Raw genomic sequence first — 13,679 nt, 5'->3', positions numbered from 1 at the left:
GATAAAAAGTCTACACTGTTGAAGTATTTTCACACTTTGAAGATGCTTCCTAAGAGATGATTTTTCGAAGAGTTGAAACTGAAGCTTAAATGTATGACTAGAAGTCTCTCTCCGTTGTTTCTAAAGTCTTTATATATTGCAAATCTTAAATTTGAAGGTACAAAGATATAGGTAAGAGGAGCTAAGAATATATCTGAGAAAAAAAGAATGTGAAACATTTATTCTGCCATTTTCAGTCTTCCTGTTTGGGCATCTCTGTAGGTTTTACCTTAGTGAATAATTGAAAAGGAATAAAAAATGATTAGGAAAAATAATTTTGCACTGGGAATGAGAGACAGAGCATATGTGTAGATCCTATATGTTTTCCCTAGAGGCTTAATATAATGCTTGATGGATTAGTCCTGATTCTGTAGAAGAAAATAAACAACCTTTTACAAAATAGTAAATATTCTGTCTGGCTGGAAATTTAACAATATTAGGGTAGGAGATCATTAATAGCAAGGACTGTCCTAATCCTTAGTTGATTCCATATGGGCTGCTGAGAGGCAATGATACTAATGAGACGACTAAGACATTGCATCATCAGGGTATACTATTGAGAGTAGAACCTTAAGGATGAAAAGTAGTTATTCTGGAAGCATTAAAAAAGTGAGAAGCTATTCTAATGCCTGAAAACCAAGAAAAGCCCTAATAATTTTATTTGTACTTTGTCTTCATGTCAGATCTTGTTTCCTCCTAATCTCCCTTCCTGCTTTCCCATCATCTCTACATGTATACTTCTCATACTATTTTTCCCATTTCTTCCTAGCCTATTACTGTTTAAAGTTATGAAATGAAGGTAAGATAGCTGCTATAATTGCAAACACACACACACACACTTAAAATGTAGAGTATAATCTTTAACTTCTTTATCTCAAAAACAAGCATACAAAAACAACTGTGTTGCTCTTTATCCTTTACGCCTTATATTTTACTTTCTTTTGCTTTTTTATCATGAGGCTTAGTGATCCTTAATCAAGGAGGAAGTTTATGTCATACATTAATATGGACAATATTTTAACTGAAATATGGCTACAGATGTGCCAAACTGAGAACTCTGGCCCAGGAGCTGAAAGAGTTCTTACCTTAGTTTACCACTTAGTACCAAGGAAACTAAAGAAAAGCACAAACTTCTCTTTCAGTTTCTTCAAGTGAAACACGTAGGAATTAAGATTAATGCACAAATGGAAAACACTTCACATACATTCTGCAATTTATCTATTGCTGCTAATTTTTCCTTCTGAAAGCAAAGATGGCCTAAAAAAGCCGTTTCAACACAGCAGTTGCTATGAATCAATTCAAACTGACATATTAGAAGGAAAGTATTTGTGAGTCCTTGTCTCCTTGAACCCTAAATTTCTGTGAATTTAGGACTTTGAAAAAAATATTTTTCACTTTTCTTAATCACAGTAATAATTGATATTGCCATCAGCTTTTATTTCTTGCTGGCAAATTAACAACATATGGGAAGTCACTGCCAATAATTTTTGGTTGCTATTCCATGCCAAGGAGAGTGGTCCACCTTGGCATATTATGGCTATGGCAGTTACAACTCAGAGTTTAAAGGATGCCGGATGGCTTCTTCCTCTTACAGCAACACAGAGCTGAGAAGAGGTCCAGTAAGTGAGGAAGAAAAATGCAGAGAGTGGTCTGTTTCTGACAGAGCCAGCAAGGAACACGATTAGGATAATTGCTAGATTGAGACTGCCCCCAAATATGCTAATTTCTCAATTATCCATTTATTTATAACTTCTATTTGTATTGCTATTAAAATAAAAAATAGATTCTGTAAGTATATGTCTGTTGTGTTATTTATTCACATTTATTGTGAATTCATCTTTCAAGCCTCTGAAACACTAATAAATCCACACCAGAATTTACTAAGTCTGTATTTACCATTTTCAGACTATTCATAAGTTAATAGACTTGAATCAATATTCTCCCTTTGGCATCATCTCTCACACTGAAAAAGTATAGTCTTAAAACTTTCCTTATAATTCTGAATACAGCATTTAAAAAATGGTGATTAAATTTCCATCAGAAGACAAGGTGTTCTAAAAATATCTTTGAAAGACTAAATGTAAATCAGAATAATAGAGCAATAAAAAAATCCTTAGGCATATTAGATTTAACATTTCATGTAATATTAAAATAATAACTATGGTAAGAAAATAACTATGGCTTGGGTAATATTAGATCCAAGAGGTATTTTTTTTGCTTCACATAATAAAACTTATGTGTTTGCATTTCTTTCTTTTTATTAAGAGACTGGGTCTTGTTATATTGCCCAGGCTTGAAGGCAATTGGCTATTTACAGGCGTGATCATAGCACACTACTGCCCCAAACTCCTGGGCTCAAGAGATCTGTTGTGGGCAGTGACTATCTGGGGCTGGTGTTGCTCTGAGTGGTAAAAATAATTTGCCAAGACAGTTGTGGGTAAAGAAAGGCAGATTTATTAGACAAAGTAGGAAAATACATTGCAAGAAAGCAAAGGGCAGGTCAGCAAGAGAGGAGCTAACTGCAAGGAGACAAAGAGTTGCTGGTGCTCATGCTGTGTGCTGAAGAGGGCTTTGTGCAGTACTGATAAAGCTAAGGTTGCAGTAAGCTAACTTGCATTTTTCTATTAGCTGAGGTGTCTGGTGATAGCTTTGCACAGGAAGATTGTGAGTTATTTGCACAGGAGGGCTATGTGTCCTGGACCATAAAGAAAGGCAGACTTACAGCTTATCCACTTTCTTTTTTTGCTTTCCCTCAGTCTCGCCAGCCCAACTCCCCCTCCTTATTTAGAACTCCACAAGATCCTCCTGCCTCAGCCTCCTTAGTAGCAGGAACTATGTGCCACTGTGCCCAGCTAATATAGCCATATTTTAAGCAATAGGAAAATATTTTAAAACATGATTTGGCAACCTAGAGAGTACTCAGTAATGTGTATTGAAGTGAAATATTTAACAGAGTGTCTATGATCATTAAAGAGAAAAATCAGTATAATAATCCTACTGCAGAATTTCTAGGACTTTTAGAATTCATTAATAGAAGAGGATTAGCATTCGAAACCAGCCTGGGCAAGATGGCGAAACCCTATCTCTACCAAAAATACAAAAATTAGCTGGGCGTGGTGGTGTGCACCTGTAGTCGCAGTTGCTTGGGAGGCTGAGGTAGGAGGATCTATTGAGGCCAGAAGGTCAAGGCTGCAGTGAGCTGTGATTGTGCCACTGTACTCCAGCCTGGGTGACAGAGTGAGACCCTGTCACCAAAAAAAAAAAGAAAAAGAAAAAAAAAAGAAAATGGTTTTCTTTGAGTCAATGGTAATCTTTTGAAATTTAAATTTCAATATTTAATATCCATATTTAAATAAATCAAGATAATTCTTTTGCACAATCCAAAGGAAAGAACATATGCTGAAAACAATTGGGGATGGAGTAGAAACGACTGAAGAAGGAAGGAAAGACAATAAGCAATATAAAAATATCTGTTCCAAAGCAGCTAAGATATCCTTGGCTTATCAGTACTCTACTTGTCAAGATTATATACAAATATAATGTGATATCATATTTACTTATTATTTTATTTGGATTTTTATTTAGATTATATCCAAATATAATGTGACATTATTTTACTTACTAGTGTCAAGATACAAGATACACTTGTATCTTGGCTTATCAGTACCCTAATTGTCACATTACATTATATCCAAATATATTTATATCCAAATATATATTACATTTGGATATAATGTGAAAATTAGGGTACTGATAAGCGAAGATACAAGTGTATAAAATTTAATACATAGCACAGAAGGCGTGGAGGAACCTAAACAAAAGGCTTATCAGTACAAGACAAGGAGGGTCAAGAAGGTAACGTAAACATGTAAAACAAAGGGTATAAGGAAAACAATAATGCAAACATGATGATAAACAGCACTAACACGGGGCTTTAGTGACTAGGGGCAAAAAAGTATGGCAGCAACTGTGGCTAACTAGAGATCCCATGTCCCACCTACAGGGGACAGACCGGAACTGTGCTCCAATTGAAAAGATCATTTGGAAATGTAAGTCTAGTGCTCTTAGACTGGAGGAAAACTCCAGACTAGGAGTTTTCAAAAAAAGCCAAAATTTTGTATTTTTAGGTAAAATATCAGTTTTTAAAAGTTTGATAACTAGCACATCATTTTTACCATTACTGAATAGGCCAAACAAACCTATCTGTGAGCCTTTGTTGGTCTGTAGATAGTGTACAACCTCTGATTTAACTTTTCAGTTGAAACTTTTCAGCTTGTTCCTGTTCATATAAAAAGGAAACCCAATAAAGAAAGACATTACAAAGACTCACATAAGAAAAAAAAAAAAAGATTACTCACCTCTGTAAAAGTTTTACAATTCAAGGGCTGCTAAAAATACCGATTCTTAGAATTATTAATATTAAATATCTATAATTTCCAGGGCTCAATCTTTAGGAAACCTAAAGTACCTAAATAACCTTACCTCAAGTCTCACTATTGCTAAAGAAATGTGATGTACTCACAAAATTAAATATGCACACATGCCAACATCACATAGGTTTAAAGAAGGGAGTCAAAACTTCCTATCTACTTTATTACACTTATCCACTATACTACTGTATACATCTCATAGAGTTATGATCCTCTGAGGCGATCATTACTTGTAAGGTTTCCATGAAGGAAACATGAGTGGCAATGTAAAAGATCAAAGTCTAGTTTCTCATAAGACGGGAGGTCTGTAGAGGTACCAACTACTTTAAAAACTTTTAGGGAATTGGTTCTTTCCTTTGCCTTTTTTGTTACAGCTTTACTGAGATAAGTGGTTTTCTCCTTTGCCTTTTTAATGACGGTTTTATTGAGATATGTTTCATCTTCATAAAGTCCATCCATTTCAATTGTCTATTCAGTGGTTTTTAGCACATTCAGAGTTGTACAACCATTGTTACAATATAATTTTAGAAGACTTCCAATATCCCAAAAGGAAAGCTGGTCTCCATTAAGTCTCTCCTCATTTCCACTCCCATCTCAGCCCCAGATTTCTCCTTTGATATTCCAACTTAGCTAGCTGATAGAACATATTTCCTTGGCACAGAATGAAACTGAAAGTTACATTTTGATGTATGATTACCAAAAATGCTACTTGAAGTAATCTTTTAAAAAATTCTATTTTTTAATTATAGAATTTCCTCTTCAAATGCGGTCAAAGCAGAAATTGTGAAAAACCAACTACTTTAGCTTATTTACTATATACATTTATCAAATGACAAATATATTTATTTCTATAATTTGGCTCAAAAGATTCAAGTTTCCTGAACCAATCCATTAAAATGAACTACTATGTAAGCCACATATAAAAAATCAGTCCATCTTTTACTTTTCTCTCCCAAAATGAACAGGCAAGGAACTACAGAAGGATCAACTAAACCCAAGGCCAGTAGAAGGAAGGAAATAATAAAGATTACAGCAGAGATAAATATTTGACTTTAAAATATAAGTTAGTAAAAAGAGACTACCATTATTTCAAAGAACCTAAGAGGTACATATTTCTGTTAAACTTTTTAGTATCTTTGAAATATGGGTGTATCTTATGATAGATAGCACGCCATAATTCAATTGGGATTCTTTTTCTTTCTTAAAGAAACATAACTGTTACAACCAATTGCATCTTAGATTTAAAATAAGATGCACTGAATTAAAAAATATTATAATTGTAACCTGAAGATTGAGTAAAGTTGTTACTTTTTTCTTTTTCTTGTTTTAAAGAAAAACAAATAATGCTAATATCTATATTCATCGTGCTTTCTATTTAAAAAAGTTAATTTATTAGACAGCTCTGATTAAACCTTTATCCTACTATCTTTAAAACAGTGGGTCACAAAATCAGTTGAATGGGTCATGAACAGCATGTTTTTCTTTTTTAATTGCTTACTTAAGGATTTTTTTCTTTATTTTTCCAAAATATTTATAAAATCATGTTTGGTATTGCTTGTCTTTACTTTATGTTTTGTAAAACTTTTAATTTTATATATGTAAGTACATACTGGCACATGATGTAAAACATCTTTTTTACTGAAGGTGTAGTCAAAGTTTGAAAACACTAATAGAAAGTTCTTTATATCATGATATAAAAAGTAAAATCTAATGTTAAGTATAAAAACAGCAAAGTAGAGAGTAGTGCATAGAATACAGTATCATTTGTTTAAATCATGGGGAAAAGATCACATATTTGAATTTATACATGCACAAAGTATCTCCGAAGGAATATAAGACAGTTCTACAATAATAGTTGGAGTCTTCAATACCCTACTTTCATACTGTACAGAAATTCTAGACAGAAGATCAATAAGGAAATAGAGAACCCAAACTTTATAAAACAACTAAATCTAATAAAATTATACAGAACACTCCACTTAACATCAGCAGAATATATATTCTTCTCAAATGCACACAGAACGTTCTCCAGGACAGACCATAAGTTAGGCATAGGTAATTCTTAGTAAATTTAAAAGATCAAAGTCATATAAAATATTTCTCTGACTACAACAGAATGAAATTAAGAATCAGTAACACAAGAAAAATGGAACATTCACAAATATGTGGCTATTAAACAACATGCTCTTAAATAAGCAATAGGTCAAGGAAGAAATCAAGAATTAATGAGAAAACATTGAGATGAATGAAAATGAAAACAACATACCAAAACTAATGAGATACAGCAAAAGCAGTACTCAGAGGGAAATTTATAGCTATAAATACCTACATTAAAAAAGATCTCAAGTCAGTAATTCAATATCTTATGGAACTACAGAAAGATCAAACTAAACCCAAGGCCAGCAGAAGGAAAGAAATAATAAAGATTACAGAGATAAATGAAACATAGACTAGAAAAACAATAAAGAGAATTAACAAAACAAAAGTTGGTTTTTGAAAAGAGAAACAAAATTGACAAACGTTTAGCTAGACTGACTGAAAAAGAGAGAAGATGCAAATAACTAGGATCAGAAATGAAAGCAAGGATGTTAGTACCGATGTTACAGAAATTAAAAGATATAAGTTAATACTATGAACAACTGTTCATCAACAAATCAGATAATCAAGATGAAATGAACTAATTCCTAGAATCATAGAAATCACCAAACTGATTAAGTAGAAAATCCCAACAGACTTATAACAAGGAAACAGACTGAAGAGTTCCTATACCCTATCAAGCCAGCCTTAGCCCAATACCAAAACCAATACCAAATACCAAAACACAAGATAAGAAAACCACAGAACAGTATCCCTTATGAATATAGACAAAAAAATACTTAACAAAATACTAACGACAGATCCAAAAGCACATTAGAAGGTTTATAAACCAAGGCCAAATGGGATGTATCTCATGAATGCAAGGGTGGTTTAACATAAAATCAGGCAATGTATAAATAATGCAGGCATATGACAGTAGAACGAAAGGGGAAAAATCGCATTATCATCTCAACAGATGCAGAAAAAGCATGTGGCAAATTCAATGCCATTTTATGATAAGAATATTTAGCAAACTAGGGATAAAAGGAAACTTCTTTAATATGACAAAGGGCATTTATAAAAATTCTATAGCAAACATCATAGTCAATGGTGAAAGATTGAAGCTTTCCTGTAAGATCAGAAACAAGGCAAGGATATTGCTTTCTCAAAACATTACCATCCAAATTGTATTGGAAATCCTAGCCAGAGCAATTAAGCAAGAGGAAAAAATAAAAGCCATCTATATTGTAAAGAAGAAGCAAAACTATCTCTCTACGTGCAGATGACATGATTCTATATATGTAGAAAATCTCATAGAACCCATAAAAAATGATTAGAGTTAATAAGCAAATGCAGCAAAGTTGCAAGATTTAAGATCAACACACAATGACCAGTGTTGTTTTGATAACCAGGATAAACCTTTCCCTTCTTGAAAAGAAAACTAAAAGAACAATTCCATTTACAATACCATCCAAGAGAACAAAATACCTAGGAATAAATTTAGCCAAAGAAGTGAAAGAATTGTATACTAAAAATTACAAAATATTACTGAAAGAAATTAAAGATCTAAAACAAAAAGACATTCCATGTCCATGAACTGGAAAACTTAATGTTGTTAGGATGACAATACTCCCAAAGAGATCTACAGATTTAATGTAATCTCTATAAAAATTTCAATGACCTGTTTTGCAGAAGTGAAAGGCTGAGCATCAAATTCATGCGGAACTGCAAGGGACCCTGAACAGACAATAGTGATGTGCAGTTAGAGGACTCATATATCCCAATTTCAAAACTTACTACAAACAACAGTTATCAAAACAGTGTGGTAGTGGCATATGGCTAGACATACAGACCAATGGAACAGAACTGAAAGTCCAGAAATAAACCCGAAGAATCTAGGCCCAACTGATTTTTGACAAAAGTAGCAAGACTATTCAAAAGAGGAATTTTTTTATCTTGAACAAATGTTTCTGGATAACTGGATAGCCATATGAAAAGAATAAAGTTAGACGCTGTTTTACTCCATATATAAAAATTAACTCAAAATGAATCGTTGACCTAAATATATATAACAAATGTTTTCTTCTAATTGTTTCATAGCTTTAGCTCTTATATATATTCATATACATATAGATATATATATCTTCTATAACATTGATTGACTTGGCAATGGTTTCTTAAAATTGATACTTAGAGCACAAACAACACAACAAAAAAATAGATAAATCAGATTTCATAAAAATGGAAAACATTTGCCCATCAAAGGATATGGTCAAGAGTGTAAAAAGAAAACCTACAGGATGAAAGAAAATATTTGCAAATCATATATATGATAAGGGTTTACTACCCAGAATATATAAAAAAACTCTTACAACTCAAAAACATGAAGATAAACAATCAAATTTAAAAATGGTCAAAGGACTTGAAAGAATACTCTAGAAGCTAGCAAAACTGACTGCATGTGACAGAAGCTCAAGGACAGGAATAAAGGAATTTTCATTGTACATTTTTTTTACATTAAAAAAATTACACCATGTAAACATATTAATCAAAACATTAAACCCTGTTTCCAATGCTTTATTTAATCAGCTAAGATATTACTAAGTTCAGTTTACTAAAGAACATTTAAATTTTATTTAAATACCAATAAAAAGGCTTTTGCTGACAAGAGAATATATATCAAACTTGAGAAATAAGAAGTCAAAATATTAATCCTTCAATCACAGGAGTTTTATAAAAATGTAGATTTAATGCTTAAGCCCTGGAGTTTGAGGCTGTAGCGAGCCATGACTGTGCCACTGTACTCCAGCCTGAGTGACAGTGTGAGAACCTGCCTCAAATAAAAAAAAAAACCCAAAAAACAAAACAAAACAAAAAACCAACAACTCTCTCTGTCTCCCCATAGAGGGAGAGATATGTATAGATTTATAATAAGAAACGGGTGAAATATTAAAAAGTAATTCAATATCAAGAGATGTAACGAAAAAATGTTTTGTTCTGTTATGCCCAGGGATTGATTTTAAATCACTCTAAGACATAATTCATTATTTACCAATTTAATTTTGAGGAAATACAATTTCATTTTATTATAAATGGCAACTTTTCTGATAAAACATACAAATAATTAAATGAACAAAGATAGATGATCAGTTTTTCATGAAATATATATTTTTTAATTATAAAAAATTTAAAATCAGCCAGAAAAGTAAACATCATACCACAAATTAGTTATATGTGTGCATATAGGTAGATAATCTGTATGTATAATGTATCTGATTACTGATGATGCAAATTTATAAATATTTCATGCAGTACAATCATTTTAATGGTAGTCTTTTATGATAATATGAAAAATTAAAATAAAAAAGCTAAAACTGAATTTCATAATAATTAGGTTTCTGTAACACTCTAAAGATGATATTAAGGAAATACAGTAAAAGGGATGCAAACATTAATGCATTACATGGATTATGTTACAAGCTAAAAAAGGAAAAGAAGCTCAAACACCATTCTGCCAAGCAGAACTGCAAAACAATCTGAAATTGGACACTGATCCTTCAAGACATATAAGACTTTCCATACTTATTAATATCTTATGACTATTTTAAAATAATTAGGTAAAAATAAAGCCATCAGTGGAAAACCATCTTTTTAATTGTTTTTATTAAAAATACCTATGGGGATAAAAAATTTTAAAGCTCTACATGTTTTCTTGAGGATCAGTACAAATTTCTTGTGCTAAATGGATAATTGAAAATAAGCTTTAAATGGGTTTTGCCAATGCATTATGTACCTATCATACTGTAGGTCCCAGAAATTATGATTGAATCAGTGGTAAATATTAAGAAGATAACAATAGAAAGTTACATGACACACTCTAAAATTGTCTTCATTTATTCTTTATAAAATTTTTTTGATCTAAAAATTTTATCTCAAAGAGTTCAATAAAATAATTTAAATTATCTGCAAACATCCACTGTCATTTAAATGAGATTATAAATAACTTCCCATTAATCTTTTGACTAAATATAACTATATTTAATAATAATTTATAAATAACAACAATAAAGATAACTTCCTATAGTGTTTATGGATCATAACATAGGCTATGTGGAGTCAAATATATTTGCAAATGTATTTTGGATACTTAAAGCATCTGTCAATAACCGGTTAACTGCAAGAAAAATAAAAAAGGTACTTTAAAAAGTTGTTGTAGTCAATATTACAACTATCCTATTATAAGAGAAATGTGATTTATTGCCAAACAAGCATAATAACACATTTATAATCGGCAACTACAAGTACATTTATGACTAGTGTTATATTATTCCTCCTGACTAGTTTTATATTATTCATCCCTGTTAATTTTCAATACAAAGAGTGTCCATTTCTGTTGACATATGAAGCATATCATACCAAGAGCACAGATAATTAGTTAACTGGTAATGTAAAAACCAGACAGTGTTCATGGCACATAAATGGACCTACAGTAATAGTTAGTGCTGCAGAAGCTAACAATGCTTTAAGCAAAATTGGAAAAACATGAATACCATGCAGTTTTACTGAACTCACCTGACAGAGGTGTAAAACCATTCTCTAGGAGCAGAGATGCATGCACAAAAGTAAGAATATGATTGCAAGTAATAGACTTTAACAAAATAAAAATATAACACTCAACTTCAAAATGACAAAAAATGGACAACATGATGGGATTACTGGGACGAAAATACTTTCATGTGTCTTACCTCTCTCTTTGCCAATAGCACATTGGGAACAATGTGTGGCAGGCAGCGTCCCAGCATTAACATAACGCTTTTTTCACTGTCTGCAATACGAGACACCTAGAAAACCAAAGAATTAATAAACAATGATAGTGGAGAACTTCTGTGCATAATAATATGGAAAAGTTCATTCTTTAGGCCCTGATACCTCTGCCCTAAACACACATTCCAATATTTTAACTTATGATAACAACAACAACAACAACAACAACAGCAGCAGCAGCAGCAACAACAGCAACAGTGCTCCAATCAACATCCATATTTCTTTGGGCTAGAAACAGATTTAAAATACCATTAAAATCAAGGGTGAAGCCAAGGAGGCCTAATAGGCTTCATTTCTGGGAACAAGTAGGGGTAATAGCACAGGAGTAGGGCAGCCTCAATGTTCGTTTTTGTCTTTGAAGAGATGCTCACAAAGCTACTACCATTAGCTACAGTGATAATCTGTACAAAGAACTTGGAAATACAAGGGGTAGGCTAAGGAAGGTGATCCAGTCTTATAATGAGGATTGCCAGAGTGCATCCAAACCATCCTCTATCTAGCTCTGTGATATTCTCAATGACATTGTGGAACAGAAGCCCATGGCAAGTCAAGTGAAATGAAACACAGAACAGCAAGAAAAGGAGGAGTGAGTACACAGGTAAGAAAAAACAGTAATAATAAAATACCCCCTCAAGACTAATCTGCAAAAATAAATACAAAATAGTTGAGAAAATCTAATATGCAAGCTAATAAACTCAACTATTGGACATAACCACTCCTAATGAAATGAAAATAATAGAGTAATTTAAATAAACAATTAATATATAAACAGTGTACACTTAAGTTGGTTTTCTGAATTATATCTAAGAGATGCTGTCATTAAACATACTATTAAAAATAGAGTTTATAAAATGTCACTTTAACGTTAATAAAATGTTAATAGAAAAAACAGAAATAATCAACTACTTTCCTTAAAAGTTTAAAATTTTAGGAACTATATCTTAGAGCATTATTTTACATAATGGATTTGCATTTGAAATACAGTCTTATCACAGATGCTTCTGTAGAAGAGAAACTTAAAAAGAAGAAAAACAGTAGAATGTTTTTAAAAAGTTGTGGAAATAGGTGGTATAATTTACCTCGTATCCTAAACGACTATCTGCTGACATTCGACAAAAAGAGAGTAGTGCTTGATGGAATGCAGGAGACAATTTCCTAGAAGAAAATGTATGAAAAAGAGACAATATCAAATAATTACCATTGACATTTAAGGAGAAATTTAAGTTATGTATTATAACTTCCATTCCAGCATTAATCCTACCCCACAAAGCTAACCAGATTTCTGAGCCACCAGTGACTTGAAGAACACTTCACTGGAGAAACTTATACAGGTCACTTAGGAGAAAAAAAATCAACAGTAACTGGTGTTCTTGCAGTAGTTTGATGTTATGTGAAAAAATGGCATTTATAGTTAGTGGATCAAACCTAAAGTGGTATAGTAGATCAATGCCTATAGAAATGATTTGAAAATCTGAAATGAGGACTTTCTCCAACCCCAATTCTCTATGGTCCCAGAAAGGTAAACACAAAGGTAAAGTGGATAAAGGTTGACCTGGTATATTGCTGAGAGGAATTAAAGCTTTGCAGATATATATAATGCTAATGATAAATCTGAATATTAGAAAACCACAAACAATAAGTCTAAAGATAAACGGAGGCACAGCTCATTCAATATTCATGATACATTTTAAAGAAAGTTTCTGTTTGCAGTTGAAAATATTAGCCTATTTATGTTTAATAAAGGAGGTTAAAACATTTATATTTCTAAAACAACACCAGTCTCTATGTAGTATTATTCATAAAATTATGACTATGAGTTGTACTTTATGTCTTAAATCTGCAAAGAAAAGGCTAACACCAAAAATTAGATAATAAAGCTTATTTAGTATACACCACAAAATGGAGCTCAGTAATTTCTATGATTATAGAGTACTGTATCAAAGCTTGAGCCTTTTGCTGTTTTATGCTCCTCTCATATTCCCTCAGAGGGGGACCATAATCCTTCCACTTGCCCAAGTCAGAAACCTCAAATCAGGCTTGATCCTTTTTTTTGAGATGGGGTCTTGCTGTATTGCCCATGCTGGTCTAGAACTCCTGGGCTCAAGCGATCCTTCCATCTCAGCCTCCTGAGTAGCTGGGATTAGAGGCACATCCCATCGTCCCTGGCTTCCTTCCCTTTATCTTCACCCCAAATCCATTCAATCTTTTAACTTCTAATAATCTTGCAGATCCATATACTTCTTTCCCTTCCCATTACCAATGTCTGAATATAGAACAGGCCTCCATCATTTCTTACTTGGGTTCTTCCAA

The 13,679-nt window shown here is 32.4% G+C and overlaps 1 protein-coding gene across 30 annotated transcripts in view; it reads right to left on the bottom strand.

The window, feature by feature from the left end:
• The window catches only part of RELCH (RAB11 binding and LisH domain, coiled-coil and HEAT repeat containing), a 122,995-nt gene that overhangs the window by 66,532 nt on the left and 42,784 nt on the right, over nt 1-13,679 (bottom strand). For 15 of the 30 annotated variants that reach the window (NR_144407.2, NR_144405.2, NR_144412.2 and 12 more), the window contains exons 9-10: nt 12,449-12,524; nt 11,291-11,386 (exon numbers count right to left, since the gene is read on the bottom strand). Coding sequence is in view for 17 of the 30 variants with exons in the window: in NM_001346229.2 (NP_001333158.1) it covers nt 11,291-11,386; nt 12,449-12,524 (172 nt within the window). In the remaining 13 variants the exon portion in view is untranslated. The other 15 variants (NR_144409.2, NR_144406.2, XR_935239.4 and 12 more) reach the window with 5 other exon arrangements.

Source organism: Homo sapiens, chromosome 18 (genome assembly GCF_000001405.40).
Source record: "Homo sapiens chromosome 18, GRCh38.p14 Primary Assembly".
Classification (NCBI taxonomy): domain Eukaryota; kingdom Metazoa; phylum Chordata; class Mammalia; order Primates; family Hominidae; genus Homo; species Homo sapiens.
The sequence above is the reverse complement of the archived record's forward strand: the minus strand, read 5'-3'. Positions and strand labels throughout refer to the sequence as shown.